At 41.6% G+C, this 23,162-nt stretch overlaps 1 annotated feature.

The window, feature by feature from the left end:
• Positions 14,059-14,937: an enhancer, noted in NCBI's record as "NANOG-H3K27ac-H3K4me1 hESC enhancer chr10:86073792-86074670 (GRCh37/hg19 assembly coordinates)". NCBI's record gives its function as "activates a minimal SCP1, AML or CMV promoter by ChIP-STARR-seq in naive H9 embryonic stem cells {active_cell/tissue: H9 hESC(naive)}" and the evidence as "EXISTENCE:reporter gene assay evidence [ECO:0000049][PMID:30033119]".

Consider the following 23,162-nt stretch of genomic DNA (forward strand, 5'->3'; position numbering starts at 1 on the left):
ACCAGCAGCAGCCAGGGCCCAGGTGACCTGGTAGAGACCAGCCATCCAGCAGGTCATGCTCTTCCAGCCATCCAGCAGGGAAGAGCTCCTGATGCTGAGGACCCCCAGAGAGGATCCCTCCTGAACCATGGGTCAGAACCTTCTCTCTACTTCCACACATGAGAGGCAGCTGGCCCTGACTGGGGAAGACCAGGTCAACTCTCCAGTTTCACACAGCTCTGTGTATGGCTTTTTCCATTTAAAATTATCTTGTGGGCATTTTTATGCAATATGTATCTTTTGGAATTTGGTGCAAATGCTATCTGGTCTCATTGTGTGGCTATACCATGTTAACGGCATATCTAAAACACAACACTGTGCTGGCTAAGAGTACAGGTGCATCAATCCTATTTTCTCAACTAGAACCCTGACTCTGTCACTTTCCAGCTGTGTGACATGCGGGGACACACAGCTTCAGCTTCTATCTCTGTAAAATAAGGTAATAAGAGTACCTAATTCACAGGGCACTTGTGAGATTTAAATAAATAAATACATGCAAAGTGCTCAGAGCAAGACCCACTGCTTAATAAACACATAACACATTGTAGCTATTACTATTTTTTAGCAATCCTAGCCAGATTAGGTGGCTGGTGCCTGAAATCCCAGCTACTGAGGTAGGAGGTAGGAGGATCCCTTGAGTTCAACCGTTTGAGGCTGCAGTGAGCTATGACTGTGCCACTGCACTCCAGCTTGGGTGACAGAGTAAGACCCTGTCTCTAATAAAAATAATAATAAGAAGAAGACTCCATCCTCATTTTATTTTATTTATGTACTTATTTATTTTGAGACAGAGTCTCGCTCTGTGCCCAGGCTGCAGTGCAGTGCGTGATCTTGGTTCACTTCAACTTCTGCCTCCCGGGTTCAAGCAATTCTCCTGCCTCAGCCTCTCGAGTAGCTAGCTGGGACTACAGGCACACACAACTACGCCTGGCTAATTTTGGTATTTTTAGTAGAGACAGGGTTTCACCATGTTGGCCAGGCTTGTCTTCAACTCCTGACCTGAGGTGACCCACCTGCCTCTGCCTCCCAAAGTCCTGGGCTTACAGGCGTGAGCCACCGCACCTGGCCGCCATCCTCATTTTAAATATAGGATTTCTTTTTCCTAAAGCACACTTTAATAAACCTCCTTATACAACTTAATCACACACAAAAATTCATATTCGTTAAAGAAAAAAATAGACCATGCACATGAGCAAAAAAAGAAAACAAAAGCTACTTGGAATATTACCCTTTTCCCCCAAAGATAACCGTAATATATTTGGTGCTATATATTTCAAATCTCTTTCCTTTGCGTGTGTGTGTATACACATATGTATACATATACATACACACACATATTTACACATATACACACAATATATTTGTACACTATATACACACATAACTCCTTAGAAAAATTCGTTTTGTGATACTGTTTTATAGTTTTCTTTTTACCAGTTAAGAATAGATCATTGGAGTTATGTGTGTATATAGTGTATATTTTGTGTATATGCGTATATATGTGTGTGTATATATATATGTATACATGTATGTATACACACACACAAAGGAAAGATATATATATGTATATATGTATACATATGTATATATACACATATATACATATATACACATACATATACGTACACACACACACACACACACACACACACAGGAAAGAGATTTGAAATATATACACCAAATATATTGTGGTTATCTTTGGGGGAAAAGGGTAATATTCCAATTAGCCGGGCGTGGTGGCAGGCACCCGTAGTCCCAGCTACTTGGGAGGTTGAGGCAGGAGAATGGCGTGAACCTGGGAAGCGGAGCTTGCAGTGAGCCTAGATCGTGCCACTGCACTCCAGCCTGGGTGACAGAGCGTGACTTCATCTCAAAAAAAAAAAAAAAAGAGTAGATCATTTATAGTTTTCTTTTTCCATTTAAGAAAAAAGTCAACAATAATTTTTAATGGCTGCCTAGTATTCCTTTTCATGTTTGTATTACTCTTTGTTAGTACCCATTGTCCATCACAAACAGCATTTTATTATTCCAAGTTTTGTGTGTGTGCTGAGATAAAAAGCTCACACAGTCTACTCAGGTCCAAAGAGTATAGCTTTTAATTTTCTCTGCAATGATCATAAGATAGTCTCCATTGTGTGTAATAATGAGGAAAACTTAGATGTGCCATTTAAAAGTTTAGCAATCTCTTCTGGTTTATGTCTCTGATTATTCTGTCAATATTCAGTCTCCTACTTCTGAAATCAGCGTCTGGGCTGATGGGGAGTACAGCGTGTCTTCAGCAGCCTCCCCAGCTGTGTGCCCTGTCACATCTGGCCATGGAGTGGAGCAGGCACCTTGGCCTCATGGGAACCTCCCTGTGCAAACTCCTGCAAGCCCTCCATGCCTAGACCATTTTGTCATCAGCCTCCTGGCCAGTCTGTCTAGGCTGGTGCTTTCAGATTTCAGCATGCATGCAAATCACCTGGAAAGTTTGTGAAAACAGACTCCTAGGCACCACATCCAGAGATTCTGATCAGTAGGTCTGGGGTGGGATGGAGAGTCTGCACTTCTAACAAGCTCCCAGGTGAGGCAGGTCCCAAAGCCACACTTTGGAAATGAGTACCCTCATCTACATCTTCACCACAGCCTTGCTGTGCAGTCACTTTGCTCTCACCAAGGTAGTACCTTGGCTGGTCTCTGGCTCTCAACCGAGCTGCCTCCCCACACATTACCAAGAGCTTAAGAGATATCCTAGATTCCTGGTTTTCCATAAGGGAAATTGGAGTGGGGAAGGGGGAGTGGTTCCTACAGCCCTCCCTCTGAGGACATCCCATGCTGCCTCCTCTCCCCCAGGTTGATATGAGGGCTCCTTTTCAGAGGCGCCTTTCCAAAGCACCAACTGGGAAGAGAAACACAAGCTCCCCCCACCCACCCCCCTTACTTCAGGCTTTTGTTCCAAGGTAATTTTTATCTGCCATCTTCCTCCATTTTAACATTAAACCTGAATGTGTAGAGAGATAGACGCAGGGTCACTGTTATCTGACATCCTATGCATCTCTTTCTTACTCCTCACTTTCCTCCCAGAACCAGAGAGCCTTTCTTTTGTTTCCCTCTTGTCTGGAAGTCACTCCTTCATTGTTAATGCCTTGTTTTGTTGTGTGTGTGTGTGTGGCGGCGGGGGGGGGGGCGGGGGGTAGACATTTGGTCACCTTCCCTGGGGCCATAATGGCAGAGTGGCTTCTGGGGAATATAATTTATAGAATATTAAAAATATATAGTTTAATGTTTTCAAAATGTCTCTGGTACACATAGTAATTGTGTTTTATTTTTCGTCATTACATTTGCCAGAATTTGTCTATTTGTTTATGCTGTTTTATTTGATTTTACTTATTAATTTTACTTTTTTCCTATTTTCAGACTCAATAATTATGTTACCTTTATTACATAGGGTAATTATATGTAATACCTTATTATATTTATTATATTTTTTCTTCTACCCTTCTAGGTTTTCTCTGGAATCCTGTACCAAAAAGAAGATTAACAAACAGAAGTTTATTAACATATATATCTAATAAATAGATAAGAGATACCAAAGACATGGCTTTAAGCTAAAACAAAAGAAGAAAGGTGTGAGGGAGGCAAGCTATGGGAAGGTAGCCAGAAAACCAGGTGACCAGGAGAGGTTATGCAGACTGAAGTTGGAGCCTTCTCAATGGATTAGAGTATTAGAGTTGTGATTTTTTTTTCCTTGACACAGACAGTCTTGCTCTGTCGCCCGGGCTGGAGTGCAGTGGTGCGATCTTGGCTCACTGCAATCTCCACCTCCCGGGTTCAAGTGATTCTCCTGCCTCAGCCTCCTGAGTAACTGGGACTACAGGTGCACATCACCATACCCATCTAATTTTTGTATTTTTGTGATTTTTTTAAAGTATATTTTTTAGTAGAGTTTTGTTTTGTTTTGTTTTCAGTTTTTCAACTTCTATTTTAGATTCAGGGCATAGATGCAGTTTTGTTAGATGGGTATGTTGCATGATGCTGAGGTTTGGGGTACAATTGATCCCATCACCCAGGTACTAAGTATAGTGCCTAATATTATTTCAACCCTTGTGCTCCCCCTCCTCTAGTAGTCCTCAGTGTCTGTTGCTGCCATCTTTATGTCCGTGAGTACCCAATGTTTAGGTCCCACTTATAAGTGAAAACATGCAGTATTTGGTTTTCTGTTCCTGCATTAATTTGCTTAAGGTAATAGCCTCCAGCTGCATTCACGTTGCTGCAAAGGACATGATTTCGTTCTTTTTTATGGCTGCATATCTTGTGATTCACAGCCATCCTTCTCTTCCTGGTACAGAGAAGAAGACACTCTTACTAATGGAGATTTCCTCTATAAATTTAAATTTCCTTTACCAAAGCGTAACTTATACTCTGTTTCAGAGCTTCTCCTGTGGCCACTGTTGCTGAAAATAATCAGCTCAAGATAATCCTTATGCCAAAGAAGCATATTTGGTGCAGTATATTCTGGTTTCCTACAGTCATATTTTGGGGTAGCATATTCTGGTCTCCTACAGTTATGTTCTTCATTTTTAGATTTTTTTTCCTTGTTTTTCCTAACATCCTGAATGGAAGGTTTCTTTTGTTTTCATCATTTTGAACTTTAAAGATATATTTCACACTCACATAGAAGTATGTAATTGTACACACATGGGATCATGCCATAGGTGCCGTTTTTACTGTAGAGGCCTTCTCTGCCACTACCACCTCCACCATCCCTTCACAGGAGCACCACACCTCGCATCTTTCTTCTTATATAATAAAACATCTGAAGCTAGAAGCTTATACTTTTTTTTTCCTTTTTTTTTTTGAGATGGAGTTTTTGCTCTGTTGCCCAGGCTGGCATGCAATGGCATGATCTTAGCTCACTGCAAACTCCGCCTCCCGGATTCAAGCAATTCTCTGCCTCAGCCTCCAGAGTAGCTGGGATTACAGGCGCCCACCACCACGCCCAGCTAATTTTTGTATTTTTAGTAGAGACAGAGTTTAACCATGTTGGCCAGGCTGGTCTCAAACTCCTGACCTCAGGTGATCCAACTGCCTCAGCCTCCCAAAGTGCTAGGATTACAGGCATGAGCCACTGCACCCAGCCTAGAAGCTTATCTTTTTATATGATTTGACTATATCCATTACTTCAACATGTAGTATTATCACTGTCTTTTAATTTCTAAAGACATGAAAATCCTGCTGTAGTTTGTGCCATAAATAATGTGAATTTGAAGACAATGCATATTTAGATCTATTGAGATTGGTGCTTTATTTCTTCCCTCTTCTGAACTCTCTCTTCCTTTTCAAATGGGGCAAGCTAAAATTCTTATCTCCCACAGAGGAAGGAGGATGTTAAGAGGAGGAGAGATTGGGCAATGAAATGAAGAGAACATGACTACCAACTTCCCAGGATTCTCCTGACCCATTCTCCCCAATCAACTGGATACCTACGAGCCTCGAGATTCCTGATGATATGGTTAGGCTTTGTGTCCCCACCCAAATCTCATCTTGAATTATAATCCCCATAATCCCCATGTGTCAAGGGAGAGACCAGGTGGAGGTAATTGAATCATGGGGCCAGTTTCTCCCATGCTGTACTCGTGATAGTGAGTTCTCACAACATCTGATGGTTTTATAACGGGCTCTTCCCTCTTCTCTTGGCACTTCTCCTTCCTGCCACCTTGTGAAGAAGGTGCCTTGCTTCCCCTTTGCCTTCCACCATGATTGTAAGTTTCCTGAGTCCTCCCCAGAAATGCTGAACCCTCTTTCCTTTATAAATTACCCAGTCTTGGGCAGTTTTTTATGGCAGCATGAAAATGGACTAATACACCTGAGATGATTGTTTCTGTCCTGGATGTCTAAGTCAGCCATAGAACCTAGCATTGCCCTCATATTTAAGTTGAGGCAGTCATCTACTAGCAGGTATTAAAGAAACATTACTTAAGACACTTGTTAAGGATGGTAGGAAGGCTTTTCTCAAGAGGAGTTACTGCAGTGAGGGTTTTGCAGTGTGGAGGATAGAGATCAAGCTCCACTGTAAATACAAGAAGGACAAATGTGATGTTTAGCTGAGTGAAATGGGAGTTAGTGGATGGAAAATTCCTCAGAGGAAACATCAAAGCTAGGGGGACTCTTGCTAGACCAACTGTTTTTTTTTTTGAAAAACCACTTTATTGAGGCATGATTGACATGAAAAAAGCTGTACATATATAATGTATGTAACTCAATGAGTTTGGGGATGAATATACAGCCATGGGGCTGTCACCATCATCAAGGTCATAAACATATCCATCACCTCCCAAAGTTTCCTCTGTCTTTATTATTATTATTATTATTATTATTATTTGTGTGTGTGTGTGTGTGTATGCATGCATGTATGTGTGTAGTAAGAACACTTAATGTAAGAGCCACCGTCTTAGAAAATTTTAAGTATACAATGCGGTATTGTTAACTATAGGCATCTGCTGTATAGTGGATCTCCAGAACTTATTTTTCTTAACTGAAATTTTGTACCCTTTGACCATCACCTCCCCATTTCCCACTTCATCCAGCACCCAGAAATAACCATTCTACTTTCTGTTTTTATGAGTTTTTTAGATTCCACATGTAAGTTGTAGATCAGATAGTATTTATCTTTCTGTGTCTGGTGTATTTCATTTAGCATAATATCCTCCAGATACATCCATGCTGTCCCAATGGCAGTATTTTCTTTTTTTTTTAAGGCTGAATAATATTCCATAATCTATACTATATTTTCCTTGTTCGTTCATACAGAAATGTGTAGGTTGTTTCCATACCTTGGCTATTGTGAATAATGCTGCAATGAACATGGGAGTGCAGGTATCTCGTATCTCTTTGAGATCCTGATTTCAATTTCTTCAGATAAATACCCAGAAGGGGGGTTGCTGAGTCATATGGTAGTTCTATTTTTAATTTTCTGAGAAACTACCATACTATTTACCATAATGGTGGCACCAATTTACATTTCTACCATCAGTGCACAAGAATTTTCTTTTCTTCATATCCTCACCAGCCATTTTTATCTTTTGTTTTTGACTTAACAGGATTCTTATTTGCTAAAGGCAGGCCAGCATGATAAATAATGTGAATTGGGGGTGGGGAGTGAGGAATTTGATCAGATATTGAGAGTAATCAACTACCAAGGTGGGGCACTTCCACTAAACTGACTCAGCAGGATCTTGCTGGACTAAGTGGCCCAAAGACAGAGGCTAAGGTAGGGACCTAGTCAAGAAGAAGGGCCAGAGGAGCCTGACTCAGGTTTGGTCGAGGACAGAATCTTTGTTACAGATAGCAGCAAATGCGGCCAGGACCTGGATGGATTTGGGGAACTCCCAGCTATAAACACTTGTCCTGGCCAGGTGCAGTGGGTCATGGCTGTAATCTCAGCACTTTGGGAAGCTGAAGCGGGAGGATCACCACTTGAGGCCACAAATTTGAGACCGGCCTGGGAAACAGAGTGAGACCTTGTCTCTACAAAAAAAAAAAAAAAAAAATCATGACTCACTGCTTTCCACCTCAGCCTCCCGGTAACTGGTAGTCTTCTTGACAAAGGGTGTGCCACCATGCCTGGCTAATTTTTCTAATTTTTGTAGAGATGGGGTCTTACTGTTGCCCAGGCTGGTCTTGAACTCCTGAGCTCAAGCAATCCTCCCACCACTGCCTCCCAAAGTGCTGAGATTACAAGTGTGAATCACTGCGCTTAGCCTACGAAAATTTTTTTAAAACATTAACCGGACATGGTAGCATGCACCTGTAGTCCCCATTACTCAGAAGCCTGAGGTAGGAGGATCACTTGAGCCCAATAAGCTGAGTTTACAGTGAGCTATGATTATGCCACTGTACTCCAGCCTGGGTGACAGAGCAAAACCCTGTCTCTAGAAAAATAAAAATAATTTTTTTGGAAAAAAGGATAAAATTTGGCTCTCTAAAGCCACCTTATTTCTTAATGATTCTAGATAACGTAAAAAAAAAAAAAGACAATTACAAGACCTGTCCTGCATCTTTTCATCTCATTAGCCTCTCAATAACATGATCCCATACATTTTACAAGACTGAATTTTTCTGGACCATTTTAAGTGAGTTATGGTGGAGTTTAACTGTCTGCTCCCATCCCCCTATCCCACGAATGCTCAGCCCCAGAGAACAGCTCCCTCTCTCTGATGCTCACTCACCCACCTGCTCTCATGGCTTATTCACATCACACTGTGGTCCCAACTCCTGGCTTTTCTGCATCTCACATTCTTGTTCCCAGTGCTGCCTGCTCTTTCCTCCCTCAAGCCTGCTTGCTTCAACCACTGATTCTGGTACTTTTCAGTTGTGTTTTCTTATTATTATTTTCTAATTTGTATTGATTTCCTATTATGAATAGGTATTTTATGTACATGGTACAGCATCAAAAAGCTACACAGGGTATATGTACAGTAGAAATTAAGTCCCCTTTCACCCACATCTCATAGTAATGGAATCTTCCTCTGTGAAAGTAACCATTGTTACCAGTTTCTTGAGTATCTTCCCAGAGATGACCTGTGAATTTATAAATATTTATGTATATACACATATTTCTTTTCTTCTATACAGATTGAGCATACTATACAGATTGTTTGGTATCTGGCATTTCCCCATTGACATCATAGCTTGGAAAGTGCTCCATTTCAGTGCACAGAGAGCTGCTCATTTTTGTTATTGCTATCACTTTTCTTTGGCTTTGACTCTTGGAAAAAAATGTCTTGGGCCATTCTGGCAGTGTCTCCAAACCTGCCCTCTGCTCCCTGTACTGCAGTTTCTAACGAGAGGTACCCTCTGCCCACCCTCCTCAGAGACTTGCACCATCCCCACCCCTCTCCCTGGCCTTCCTGCCAGTGATGGAGAGGAATGAGCCATTCTAACCACAGAACTTTTCATTTCTCCGAAGAACCACCGAGCTGAAAAGGGAAATGGCTCTTCCTGTAAGGGAGTCTGAGGACTTTCAACAATGACATGCTGGTGCCTGGCAAGGAGCCCAGATTCACAAAACCTTCCCAGCCATATCAGATAAACGGCATTTATACCACTAGGACCAAGATCAGCGATATCAAATCAGCAATCCTTCCTGCTTAATATGCATGCTTCTCTTTTAAGATAAACAAGGGGTCACTTTGCACAAGAAACAGTCAGCATCCTTCTCAGGGCCCAGGGCTGCATGGCATCTCAATTTTGTTACACCTTCATCATACATGTAAGTTTCAAGCATGGGACCTCTTAGCGGGTTGTGTAATTACCACCGCCTAAAAATTTAGCCTCTTCCACCCTAATTCAATGCAGAGACAAACACAAAAGTCCCAAAGTTAGACTTGGTTAAAAAAGAATTTAGGGGCTGAGCCCGGTGGCTCACCCCTGTAATCCCAGCACTTCAGGAGGGAGGATTGCTCCCTACTTCAAGGTGGGAGGATTGCTTGAGTCACCAGTTTGAGACCAGCCTAGGCAACACAGCAAGACCCTGTCTCTACAAAAATATATATTTTTTCAATTAGCTAGGCATGGTGGTGCATGCCTGTAGTCCCAGCTACTTGGGAAGCTGAGGGAAGAGGATTGCTTGAGCCCAGGAGGTCACGGCTGTAGTGAGCTCACCCATGATTGTACCACTGCACTCCAGCCTGGGTGACAGAGCAAGACCCTGTCTCAAGAAAGAATTCAGAGGAGTTTGAGTAAAATTTGGCCAAGAAAAGAATCTTTGTCAAGGGCCAGAGTCTAGGAATGAGGGACTGCAAAAAAACTTGAAGGAATCCAGCCCCCATACCAACCTTGGACCACATTCATCATGACTTTTCCATGGGGGAGAAGTAAATTCTGATCTAGTCACAGCTCTGTCATGTTGAATTTTGCTTTTTTTTTAAATTTAAATCTCTATCTATCCTAAGTAATGAACTACCATCCCATCAGAAATAGATTTTTAAGGCCGGACACCATGGCTCATGCCTGTAATCCCAGCACTTAGGGAGGCTGAGGTGGGAGGATAATTTGAGATCAGGAGTTTGAGATCAGCCTGGTAAACACAGTGAGACCCTGTCTCCACAAAAAAATTTTAAAAATTAGCCAGGCATGGTGGTGCATGCCTGCAATCCCAACTACTCCAGAAGCTGAGGTGAGAGAATCACTTGAGCTCAGGAGTTCAAGACTGCAGTGAGCTATGTTCAGGCCAGTGCCCTCTAGCCTGGGCGACAGAGCAAGCCCTCATCTCTTTAAAAACAAGGAAAAAGAAAGAAAGAAAATAAATATATTTTAATGTTTATTTTTTGAACCTCTGCTGCCAGCAATGGCAATAGTTAATTTATAGATGTTGGTTTTAAAGGTATCTGCTATTCTTATTTCCTGCCTTTCCAACCTGTAGGAAATACTTCAGCTTGAAACTTCCACCCTGCTCGGTGCATGAGCCAGAGAGGTGCATGGAGTGTGCAGGTAGAATGGAGCAGAGAGATACAGAGGATTTTGGAACTGTTCTTTCAAGAGGTTTGATTCTAATATGCCCAGGTTACCCAGCTGACTCCATGGGAACCTACATGCGCATAGAGCCTCAGCCTAACCTGCTGAGTCACAGTAGCAGGAACAGACTTCCAGCTTCTCCCCACATGAGCAGGCCACTCACTCCTCAGAGGCATTCATCCTTTTCTGATCTCTGTTGGAAGAACTGGCTACTGGCCAGAGGCCTGGGATGAGGATCCTCTCCACAGCTGACCCCAAGTACCAAGGAAATTGGAGGCAGAACTGGCATAGGAGCCAGTTGGGAAGAAGTGAGGGAGGTGGCACTGGGTCACTATACTGATGGTTCCCCATCGCTAGCACCACCACTGGGCAGCGGGGCATGGGCATGTTTACCCAACTTAAAGATCCAGGGCAATTTTCGTAGTTTTTGAGAGAAGCCTTTCTGGGTTGCTGGTTCCTGGTCCCCAGCCCAGCTCTAAGCCCAATGGGTCAGGAAGTGCTCAGGGGCTGCCAACTGACTTAGGGTATCCACACTGCTTGGAGAAGCTGCTTCTGAGCCCTATCCACTATGTCAGGCTGAGCCAGATGCCAGCTCACATAAGTTATATTTGCTATAACCTCTGCATGGCAACTGGGAATCCTGAGTCCTCTTCACAATGTCCTCAGTTCTCCTAGACTGGGGATCATCCATCATCCCTTTCCTACCTGGCCCGTTACTGGGCCAACTTCCCAGATGGGACGGAGTTGGCTGGCAGGCAGACCTCAGAAGGGTCCACTGTCTGAGAATGAGGTTGAGCATCAGGGAGAGCTACTGAGCTTTGAACAAGCCAAGAGAAATGTTTCTTGTAACTGTGGCTGGAGTCTTCTGCCTGGAAAGATAGGCAGGAGATACTGCTTCAACAACCAAAGGAAGCAGGAGACATCCCACTTGATGACCCCAATATTTCCCTGCTGCCATAAATGTGTTTTTTCTTTTTTAAATATTACCTGGTCCCATTGTTCCTTCCGGTGGGTTCGTGGTCTCGCTGACTTCAAGAATGGAGCTGTGGACCTTCCTGGTGAGTGTTACAGCTCTTAAAGATGGCACAGACCCAAAGAGTGGGCAGCAGCAAGATTTATTGTGAAGAACAAAAGAACAAAACTTCCGTAAGGTGGAAGGGGACCCCAGCGGGTTGCCACTCCTGACTGCGGTGGCCAGCTTTTATTCCTTTGTTTGTCCCTGCCCACATCCTGCTGATTCGTCCATTTTACAGAGTGCTGATTGGTCCATTTTACAAACCTCTAGCTAGCCCCAAAGCACTGATTGGTGCATTTTTACAGAGCACTGATTGATGCATTTTACAAACCTCTAGCTAGCCACAGAGCGCTGATTGGTGCGTTTTACAATCCTCTTGAAAGACAGAAAAGTTCTCCAAGTCCCCACTCGACCCAGGACGTCCAGCTGGCTTCCCCTCTTACCATGGGCTTTTGGCAACCCCATTTGCCCCAAAACAGCAGGTCAACTCTCTACTTTTTCCTAGTGCAGCAGCACAACTTCTCCCAAATGCTGCCATAACGTATTGAAAGCTACAACCTCTCTCCATATGTTTAGACACCATCTTAGAAAGAAAAGCAAAACCGGAGGCAGCCATTGAGATCTTGGGCCTTTTTATACAACATTGAAGACTTCTTAAACAGTATTATTCGAAAGATCACCTATATCCAAGTTTTAAATAGATTAATATTTTGTAATTATTTTTTCTCAAAAAACAGCGAATAGAGAGAAACTCAGGAAAAAATCCAGATTAGTTACAGTCAAATAAAGGAATTTCTCTTTTCCTGCCATTATGGGCTGAATTGTGTCCTCTTAAAATTCATGTTGATAGACTTTCTTTAAAAAAAAAAAAAGAATAAAAAAGGATAAAAAGAAGTATAACATGAAAATATGTTATTAGTATAAAAAAATTTACTCGCCAAGCACAGTGGTTCGCACCTGTACTCCCAGCATTTTGGGAGGCCGAGGCGGGCAGATCCCCTGAGGTTGGGAGTTCAAGACCAGCCTGACCCACATGGAGAAACCCCATCTCTACTAAAAATACAAAATTAGCTGGGCATGGTGGCACATGCCTGTAATCCCAGCTACTTGGAAGGCTGAGGCAGGAGTATCACTTGGACCTGGGAGGCAGAGGTTTCGGTGAGCCAAGATCGCGCCATTGCACTCCAGCCTGGGCAACAAGAGTGAAAATCCATCTCAAAAAAAAAATAATAAAAATAAAAAAATAAAAAATATATACATTAGACTGGTCACAGTTGTTCACACCTGTAATCCCAGCACTTTGGGAGGCCAAGACAGGAGGATTGCTTGAGGCCCAGAGTTCAAGAGCAGTCTGAGCAACATAGTGAGATCTTGTCTCTACAAAAAATTTAACAATTAGCCAGGTGTTGTGGCGTGTGCCTGCAGTCCCAGCTACTAGGGAGGCTGGGGTGGGAGGATGGCTTGAGCATCGGAGGTGAAGGCTGCAGTGAGCTGTGATTGCACCACTGTACTCCAGCCAGGGCAACCTAGTGAGACCCTATCTCAACAACAACAAAAAAGTAGTTTGACCTAAGCCCCAGATGGGGGGAACAGATCTGAGTAAAGCCCCTTGCTGGTTGACCTTGCAATAGAGCCTTTTATTTTTTCAAAAGCTGGTGCCCTAGTATTGTCTTCTATGTGCATCAGACAGTGAGCCTATTTCTTGGTAACATCTTAAATTTTTCACATAAATGGGAGCATGTTGTAATATCTAGTTATTTAGCACTTCCTACGTGCCAGGCTTACATACATAAGCTCACTTAATTCTCATAGCAACCTAATTTTTTCCCCATTTACAAACATGAAAACTAGGGGACAGAAAAATAAAGTAGCTTGCCCAAAGCCTCACAACATGGAAGTGACAAGTGGCAGAGCCAGGATTTACAGCAAGGTGGTGAGGCTGTGCAATTCCCAGGCACAGAGAAACTTGTTTTTTCACTTAAAGATACTTTCTGGTAGTTTCCAGGGGTGGTGGCTCATGCCTGTAATCCCAGCACTTTGGGAGGACGAGGCGGGCGGATCACTTGAGGTCAGGAGTTCAAGATCAGCCTGGCCAACATGGTGAAACCCCGTCTCTACTAAAAATACAAAAATCAGCCAGGCGTGGTGGTGGGCACATGTAATCCCAGCTACTCGGGAGGCTGAGGAAGGAGAATTGCTTGAACCTGGGAGGCGGAGGTTGCAGTGTGCTGACACTGACCCACTGCACTCCAGCCTGGGTGACAGAGTGAGACTCTGTCTCAAAAAAAACAAAGATACTTCCTGGTAGTTTCCCACCTCATTACGCATATACTTACTGCATTTGTTTTAAGAGACACTTGGAATTCCACGTTTTATTGTGGGGTATAAAAATGAAGCCCGCATATTGCTGCTTTAACAAGTAGCCTTCTGTCCACCTTCAAGAATAGTGACTCATCTGGAAGGAATGGAGGCATTTCCTCTCTCATCAATAGAAGTAGAGATTGGTCTTTGTGTTTCTGAAGACTGGTGGGTGCTCCTTAACTTAGAGCGAAGACACTTTTTTCATCGTTAACAGTTAGAGCTCCTTTTTGAGAAGCGTTACCTGAGAGGATGTTAAGCCTTATTATGAGAGAAAGGAGGCAAAATGAGTGTTTGCAGGAGTGGTACTAGAGAGATTTGGAGCTGGCACCCTAAGACATGACTGGGAGTAGGGAACAGGGCCAAGGTCTCTGGGTCCTGAGGCTGGGAACCTGGCCATTGATGAATGGTCCCATCGGTGGTGTGTGGCCTGGAATAGATCTGAATGGAGGAAGGGGCTTTAGGGGGTTCTGGACAAATGCCCAGGAGGGATATCAGACCAGAGAAGGGGCGCCCTGCACCAAGAGGCAACTCAGCAGGGCAGGCCCAGTGGTGGGAAAGGAGTCTACAGCGGTGGTCATGTCCCCTGTCTGCCCTGCCCAGTGTGGGGAACCCCTTAAGCCCATGTCCCACCACGAAACCTCCTCACAGCTCAGCTGCCAGTGAGGGGCTTCCCCTTAGTGCCCCAGGAATTTGGCAAGCTTTCAAGATCATCTTTTTCTCCTATTCTCAATCTCTTTTTCTGTTTGCTCCCATTTGCAGATATCCTCAACTTTATTTTCTAGCCGTTCTATTGAGTTTTCATCACTGCTATATCTTTTTCATTTTGAAGGACTCTTTTGTGTTTTTTATGACATTTATTCTTGTTTCATGGATGCAATATTTTTTCTTATTTCTCTGGATGTATCACTTATAGTTTTTAGGAATGAAGCATAAGGGGGCTAGTTTTCTTCCTCTTGGAGTTTCCAGATCCTTTCAGGTTTATTTGCCTGGGTCTCTATTTTCCATGTTAGAGGTTGTCCTCTAGTGTCTTGCAATTTTGGTTTCTTATTTGTTGTTAAATGGGGAGGGCAAAATAACAGATCCTACCAAACAATATTGAATTCTGTATATGTATAAAAGAGAAATTACCTTCTTTTTCAAATGAACATAAAACATTCATGAAAATTGACCAAATATTAGGCCACCAAGAAAATCTCAAGAAATTCCAAAGAATAGAAATTAAAAATTGTGGCCGGACATGGTGGCTCATGCCTGTAATCCCAGCACTTTGGGAGGCTGAGGCGGGTGGATCACTAAGTCAGGAAATCGAGACCATCCTGGCTAACATGGTGAAACCCCGTCTCTACTAAAAAATATAAAAAATCAGCCAGGTGTGGTGGCGGGCGCCTGTAGTCCCAGCTGCTCAGGAGGCTGAGGCAGGAGAATGGCGTGAACCCGGGAGGCGGAGCTTCCAGTGAGCCGAGATCGCGCCACTGCACTCCAGCCTGGGCGACAGAGTGAGACTCCGTCTCAAAAAAAAAAAAAAAAAAAAAAAGAAAAGAAAAGAAATTAAAAATTGCATTATCTGATCATAATGCAATAAAACTAGAAATTAATGACAGATTTTTTTAATCTGAAAATTCCTTTTTCCTGGTAATTTAAAAATACTCCTTTAAGCAGCTCCTTGGAAAATGAAAAAATAAAATTATTGAATTTCTTGAAAATAATAATAAAACCAAGACATATAATCTCTGTAATAATGCTAAAGTAGCTGTGTTTGTTGTTATGATATGTATATTGTTCTTTGTCCACAGTTCCTGGCGCATAACTCCCATAACTTTTGTTAGTCTTCTGTTACAATGTTGGGTGTGTTAAGTCTCAGGAAACAGAATCTCTCTGACCTTCTCCTCCCCTTCTTTCACCTGCCCAAAGGCAGGACTCTAATCTTTCCTCGTTTCTGACTGTGAGTCCTAAAACCCTTATTCCAGAGAGGGTTCCACTCCATTCCCTGGGGGAAGAATGCTGAGGTCCCGAAGCTTCCATGAAAAGCCAAGATGCCTGAGTTCAGAGAGGTTCCAGGTAGCTGAATACATGGAAGTTTCTGAGGAGTGGCACACCCCTTCCCCCCTACCTCTGCCTATGCATCTTTTCATCGGTATCCTTTGTTACATCCTTTAAAATAAACCATTAGGCCGGGCGTGGTGGCTCACACCTGTAATCTCAGCACTTTGGGAGGCCGAGGCGGGTGGATCATGAGGTCAGGAGTTCAAGACCAGCCTGACCAATATGGCGAAACCCCGTCTCTACTAAAAATACAAAAATTAGCTTGGCATGGTGGCCAGGCCTGTAATCCCAGCTACTCTGGAGGCTGAGGCAGGAGAATTGCTTAAACCTGTGAGGTGGAGTTTGCAGTGAGTTGAGATCATGCCATTGCACTCCAGCCTGGGCAACAGAGCAAGACTCCATCTCAGAAAAAAATAAATAAAATAAAATAAACCATTAAATATAAGTGTTTCCTTGAGTTCTAAGAGCCACTGCAGCAAATTAATCAAATCCAAAGAGGGTCATGTAACCCCAACATTTTTATTTAATAGAGATGGGATCTCAATGTGTTACCCAGGCTGATGGCAAACTCCTGTCGTCAGGTGATCCTCCTGCTCCCAAAGTGTTGGGATTACAGACATGAGCCACCATCCCCAGCTGGGAACCTCAACTTGAAGCCGATCAGTCAGAAGTTCCAGAGTCTCGGACTTGCCACTGGGTGTCTAAAGGGAGGGAGACTAGCTTAAGGGACTGAGAGCCCTCAACCTGTGGGATCTGATGCTGTCTCCAAGTAGATAGTATCAGAATGGAATTGGAGAATATGCAGCTGGTGTCCACTGCTTGTTGGTGGGGAAAAAACTTCACACATTTGGTCACAGACATTTTCTGTGTCGATTGCTGTGTTGGTGTGAAAGCAGAGGGAAAACATGGTTTGAGAATTTTTCCCAAAGAGCAGTTATTACAGGAAAATTTATGCCTTTAAGTATCTGGCGCAATAAAAATGAAAGCATAAATATAAATAAATTTAATGTCTGAAATAGAAAACAAAATGGCAGAGTAAAACCAAGAGAAGCAAAAAAGGAATTAATAAAGATAAAATTATAAATAATGATTTGGAAAACAGAAGAGTAAAAATAATAAATTTAAAAGCTAGATATTTGAAAAACACAAAAAATACACAAACTCTTATCTAATTTAAGCTTTAAAGAAGAGAAAACACAAATACAAAAATATAGAAATAATAGCATAAAAAATAGAAAGCAATTTAAGAAGAAAGTACTTTGTTCAACTCTGTGCAAATAAGTATGAAAATCTGGAAGAAATGGGTATTTTTTAGACAAATACAACTTACTAAAATTGAAACCAGTAGAAACAGAAAGTCTAAAACTAATTTCTGAGGAGGAAATGAAAAGGCTGAATAGTTCTTTCATAAAAACAAAGAAACACTAAGCCAAATGATATCACAAAGGACTACGTAATCTTTAAGGATCAGCTAATTCCATTGTTACTTAAACTATTTCAGGACATTTCATTTTAGGAAGCGTATTTTTTGTAGAGACAAGAGTCTCTATTAATTATACTATTAATCCCCCAACCTGACAAAGATTGCATTGTTTTTATTCCTATATATTTCAGATTTGTTTGGAATAAATTTCAAAGATTTTTATTCCAATAAAAGAAAACCACAGACAATTCTCCCTTAAGAATTTCAATGCAGAAAACTTAAAATAGACCCTGGCAGCAGATTAAATGATGCATTGTGATCAAGTGGGGTTGATTTTAAGAATGCAGTGTTTCAATGTCAAATTGAAATTTGAGAATGCAAAGTGTTTCATTAATATATGATCATCTCTACAGATGTAGAAAAGACATTTAGCAAATTCAATATTGGTGTACTTTTTTTTTACAACAAAACATTCAGTAAACTAGGAATTGATAGCTATATCCTTAACATGATAAAAAATGTATCATAGCCCAAAAGTCAGCATCTTAGTAGCTTTTCTGCTAAAGCAATGAAAAAAACAAAGATTTCATTATGTCCTGTACTATAAAACATAATGTTGGCAGCATTAGCCAATAAATGCTATTTACAGAGGTCATGATTATGTCTGGAAAACCTTGAAGAATTGGTGAGAAAACTCATACAAACAAGATAATGTAGTAAAGTACCAAATGTTTACAATCAAATTAACATATAAACACCAAAGACATGCATACATACAAACTAGAAACAGAAGACATAGTGGAAAACAAGACTCCATTTATTACAGCACACAAAATACCAGGCATAAAAATAAGAGATAACGTCCAAAAGATGAAAACTACAAAATAATTCTGAACTCACAAAAATGAATTTGAAAAAATAGAAAGACATGCCAAGTTGCTGGATAAGAAGATTCAATCTTATAAAGATGAGGTTTTAAATAAGGTATTATAAAACTAATTTATAAATGCAAAGCAGGCTTGGTAAGGTGGCTCATGCCTATCCCTTTGGGAGGCTGAGGCAGGAGGGTTGCTTGAGGGCAGGAGTTCAAGACCAGCCTAATTAACATAGTGAGATTCTTGTCTCTACAAAAAATATAAAAAATAAATAAATATAAAGCAATTCCAATAAAAATGCCATCTACCTTTTCACCTGGAACTAGATAGGTTGATTATAAAATTTATTTGGAAGAACAGAGAAACAAAAATAACCAGAAAACTCATGGAAAAAAATAAAAAACCAATGCAGAGGCTGAGGGCTAGCTTTACCAGGTATTAAAATATATTATTCAGTTTCTGTATTCAAAACATTTTGAGGCCGGGCAAGGTGGCTCACACGTGTAATCCCAGCACTTTGGGAGGCTGAGGCAGGCGGATCATGAGGTCAGGAGTTCGAGACCAGCCTGACCAACATGGCGAAACCCCGTCTCTACTAAAAATACAAAAATTAGCCAGACGTGGTGGCATGCGCCTGTAATCCAGCTACTCAGGAGGCTGAGGCAGGAGAACTGCTTGAACCCGGGAAGGGGGAGGTTGCAGTGAGCCGAGATAGCACCATTGCACACCAGCCTGGGTGAGAGAAAAAGACTTCGTCTCAAAAAAAAAAAAAAAGAAAACATTTTGATAATGGCTCAATATATAGAACATTTTAAAATATAAAAATAGACTAAATTGAATTTGAAAAGGTAATACATGACAAAGTAGCATCTTAAACCAGTGAGGAAATAATAGACTTTTAAAAATACTTTTTTTTTTTTTTTTTTTTTTTTTTGAGACAGGGTCTTGCTGTCGCCCAGGCTGGAGTGCAGTGGTGCAATCATGGCTCATTGCAGCCTCAACCTCCCAGGCTCAAGTGATCCTCCCACCTCAACCTCCCCAGTAGCTGGGACTACAGGTGCATGCCACCAGACCTGGCTAATTTTTGTAGAGATAAGGTTTCATCACGTTGCCCAGTCTGGTCTCCAACTCCTGGGCTCAAGCAATCCACCCATCTAGGCCTCCCAAAGGGCTGGGATTACAGGCATGAACCACCATGCCTAGCCAAAAAAAAAAAAAATACTCTTTAATTGAGGTATAATTATTATATTAAAACGAACAGCTTTTATTTGAATAGTTCAATGAATTTTGACAAATTTATACACCAATGAAACCACCATGTCAATCAAAACACAGAGCATTTCCAGGACCCCAGAAAATACTATCATGCGACTTTTCCTTCACCATCTTCCCATTTGCCCCCAAGGCAACCATTATTTTGATTTCTATCATCATAGGCTAATTTTTTCTGTGGTAGAATTTTATACAAATGAAATAATACAGTATGTACTCTTTAGTGTCTGGCTTCTGTTGCATGTCTCAGTAGTTCATTCCTTTTAAATGCTGACCTACTATTCTCTTGTATGTGTGTACCACGATTTGTTTATCCATTTACCTGTTCATAAACAAGTAATTATTGCCAGTTTGGGCCTTTATGAACATACTCACTTAAGTCATTTTGTGGACATATGTTTTTATTTCTCTTGAGTAAATACCTAAAACTGAAGTTGCTGGATCACACAGCAAGGACATGTTTAACTTTATGAACAACTAACAGAGTGAGCTTCAAAATAGTTTTATCGTTTTAAATTCTCACCAGCAGTATATGAGAGAGTTCCAGGGGTTTCATATTCTTCCCAACATTTGGTGTTGTCAGTCCTTTGAAATTCTTAGCCAAATTATATGTTAATGTGAAGTGAGATGTCATTGGACTTTAATGTGCATTTCCTTGGTGACTAATGATGTTAAGCACCTTTTTATGTGCTCATTTATGTGTCTTCTTTTGTTAAGTGTCTATTTATTACAGTTGCCCATTTCAAAATTTGGGTTGTTTGTCTTTTCATTATTAATTTGGTGAGTTCTTTAAGTATTCTCAGTACAAGTTATTTTTCAGATTCACAGTTTTCTTGTGGTAATTAGTTTTTCCTTGAAAATATGAAATAATGTACTTAAAATATTCAAGTATCTAAGTATCTTTTATTGTATCAATTTTTTGAGTAACTTTAACAATTTCTTTTTTGATACGGAGTCTTGCTCTGTCACCCAGGCTGAAGTGCAGTGGCATGATCTCGGCTTACTGCAACCTCTGCCTCCTGGGTTCAAGCAATTCTCGTGCCTTAGTCTCCCAAGTAGTTGGGATTACAGGCATGTGCCACCATGCCCCACTAATTTTTGTATTTTTAGTAGAGACGGAGTTTCACTACGTTGGCCAGGCTGGTCTTGAACATCTGACCTCAGGTGATCCACCTGCCTTGGCCTCCCAAAGTTCTGGGATTACAGGCGTGAGCCACCGCACCTGGGCAACAGTTTCTTTTAGAGTTTAAAAAGGCATTCCAGATCTCTTCCACTTTGAATTAAATTTGATAATTTTCAGGGGAAATTTTTCTTTCATTGAGATTATCAAATTTATAACTACAAAACTAGTCATACTCAGAATTTTTAAATAATTAAGTCTCTTAAGGATCTATTGTTAGCCTACATGTTAATGTTCGTGATTAACTTCAGTTGCTTCTTATATGATATTTAATTCATTTAATTCTCACAAGAAAAACATATTTCTTAGCTTTTGCAGGTCTGCCTATGTCACTGACATAGTTTGATATATGTCCCCGCCAAATCTCATGTTGAACTATAATCCCCAGTGCTGGAGGTGGGGCCTGGTGGGAGGTGTTTGGATCATGGGAGTGGATCCCTCATGAATGGTTTGGCCATCCCCTTGGTGATAAGTGAGCTCTTACTCTGAGTTCATAAGATATCAGGTGTTTGGATCATGGGAGTGGATCCCTCATGAATGGTTTGGCCATCCCCTTGGTGATAAGTGAGCTCTTACTCTGAGTTCATAAGATATCTGGTCATTTAAAAGTGTGTGGCATCCCTCCCCTTCACTCTCTCTCTCTTGCTTCTGCTTTTGCCATGTGATGTACCTGCTTCTCCTTCATCTTCTGCCATGATTGTAATCCTCCCAAGGCTTCCTTAGAAGGCAAGCTGATGCCAGCATCATGCTTCCTATAAAGCCTGCAGAACTGTGAGCCACTTAAGCCACTTTGTAAACTACCTAGTCTCATGTATTTCTTTCTTTTTTTTTTTTTTGAGATGGAGTCTCACTCTGTCACCCAGGCTGGAGTGCAGTGGCACAGTCTCGGCTCACCGCAACCTTCGCCCCCTGGGTTCAAGCGGTTCTCCTGACTCAGCCTCCCAAGTGGCTGGGATTACAGGCACACACCACCACGCCCGGCTAATTTTTTGTATTTTTAGTAGGGACAGGGTTTCACCATTTTGGCCAGGCTGGTCTTGAACTCCTGACCTCAGGTGATCCACCTGCCTTAGCCTCCCAAAGTGTTAGGATTACTGGAGTGGGCCACCGCACCTGGCCTCAGGTATTTCTTTATAGCAATGCGAGAATGGACTCACACACTGCTATAGAAATCAGTATGACATTTCCTCAAAAAATTAAAAAAGAATTACCATGTGATCCGACAATTTCACCTCTGAGTAAATAACTAAAAGAATGGAAAGCACAGTCTTGAGGAGATATCTGCACACTCACATTCATAGTAGCATTATTCATGATAGCCAACAGAAGGAAGGAACCTAAGTGTCCACCAATGGATGCACAGATAAGCAAAATGTGGTTTATGCATCCAATGGAATGTTATTCCACCTTAAAAAGAAAAATACTGACACACCCTACAACATGAATGAATCTTGAAGACATTATGCTAAGTGAACTAAGCCAGTCATGAAAAGACAAATGCTCTATGGTTCCACATATATGAGGCACACAGAGTAATGAAATTCATAGAGACAGAGAGTAGAACAGTGGTTCCCAGGGGCTGGGGGAGAGGGGAATGGGGAATTGTTGTTTCATGGGTATAGAGTTTCAGTTTTGCAAGATGAGAACAGTTCTGGAGATGGATGGTGGTGATGGTTGCACAGCAACATGAGTGTACTTAATAGTACCAAGCTATACAATTAAAAATGGTTGGGAGTAAATGTCATGTGTATTTTACCACAACAATTTTCAAAAAAAAAAAATCTAGTGCATATCAGGTTCACAATCATGTTAGTTTAATTTTTCCTTCACAGGAGAGGAAAACATGGAAGCAATGTGAACTCTCCATGAATTTGTAAGCTAAATCATGTAGAATCCATACTCTCTCTGGAACCTCTATAGCAGGCTGGCAGACTGCAATGCTTACAGGAACCAGGCAAGCAAATGAGTGGATGGAGTTAGTGTAGACAAAAGGGCCTTATATGACTCTGGCCAATTGGAGAGAACTGAAAATGTGGATTTTTTAAATATGTGAAATTCATCAACTTTTAAATTTTTGGTAATGAATTCAAATTTTAAAAATCATGGTGTGGCCAAACAAAATGTACCTGTGGGCTGAATTTTATCTAAAGCTGTTATTTTGTGCACTCTGCACAAGAGATGAAGGGAAGATTGCCAATGTACAGGCATCTTGCCTGCTGTGGCCAGGCAAAGAGGCTATGGTGACAGGGATGGAGGTTATGAATGGGCTCAGCAACATGGACTTCCACTCACCAAGGCTGACCTGGCTACGGCTACCATTAACTGCCCAATTTCCCAGCAGCAGAGACCAACACTGAGCACTTGATGTGGCACCATTCCTTGGGGTGATCAGCAAGCTACTTGTTGGCAGGTTCATTATATTGGACCTCTTCCATCATGTAAAGGACAGCAGTTTGTCTT

The sequence above is a fragment of the Homo sapiens genome, chromosome 10 (assembly GCF_000001405.40).
Source record: "Homo sapiens chromosome 10, GRCh38.p14 Primary Assembly".
NCBI classification, from domain to species: domain Eukaryota; kingdom Metazoa; phylum Chordata; class Mammalia; order Primates; family Hominidae; genus Homo; species Homo sapiens.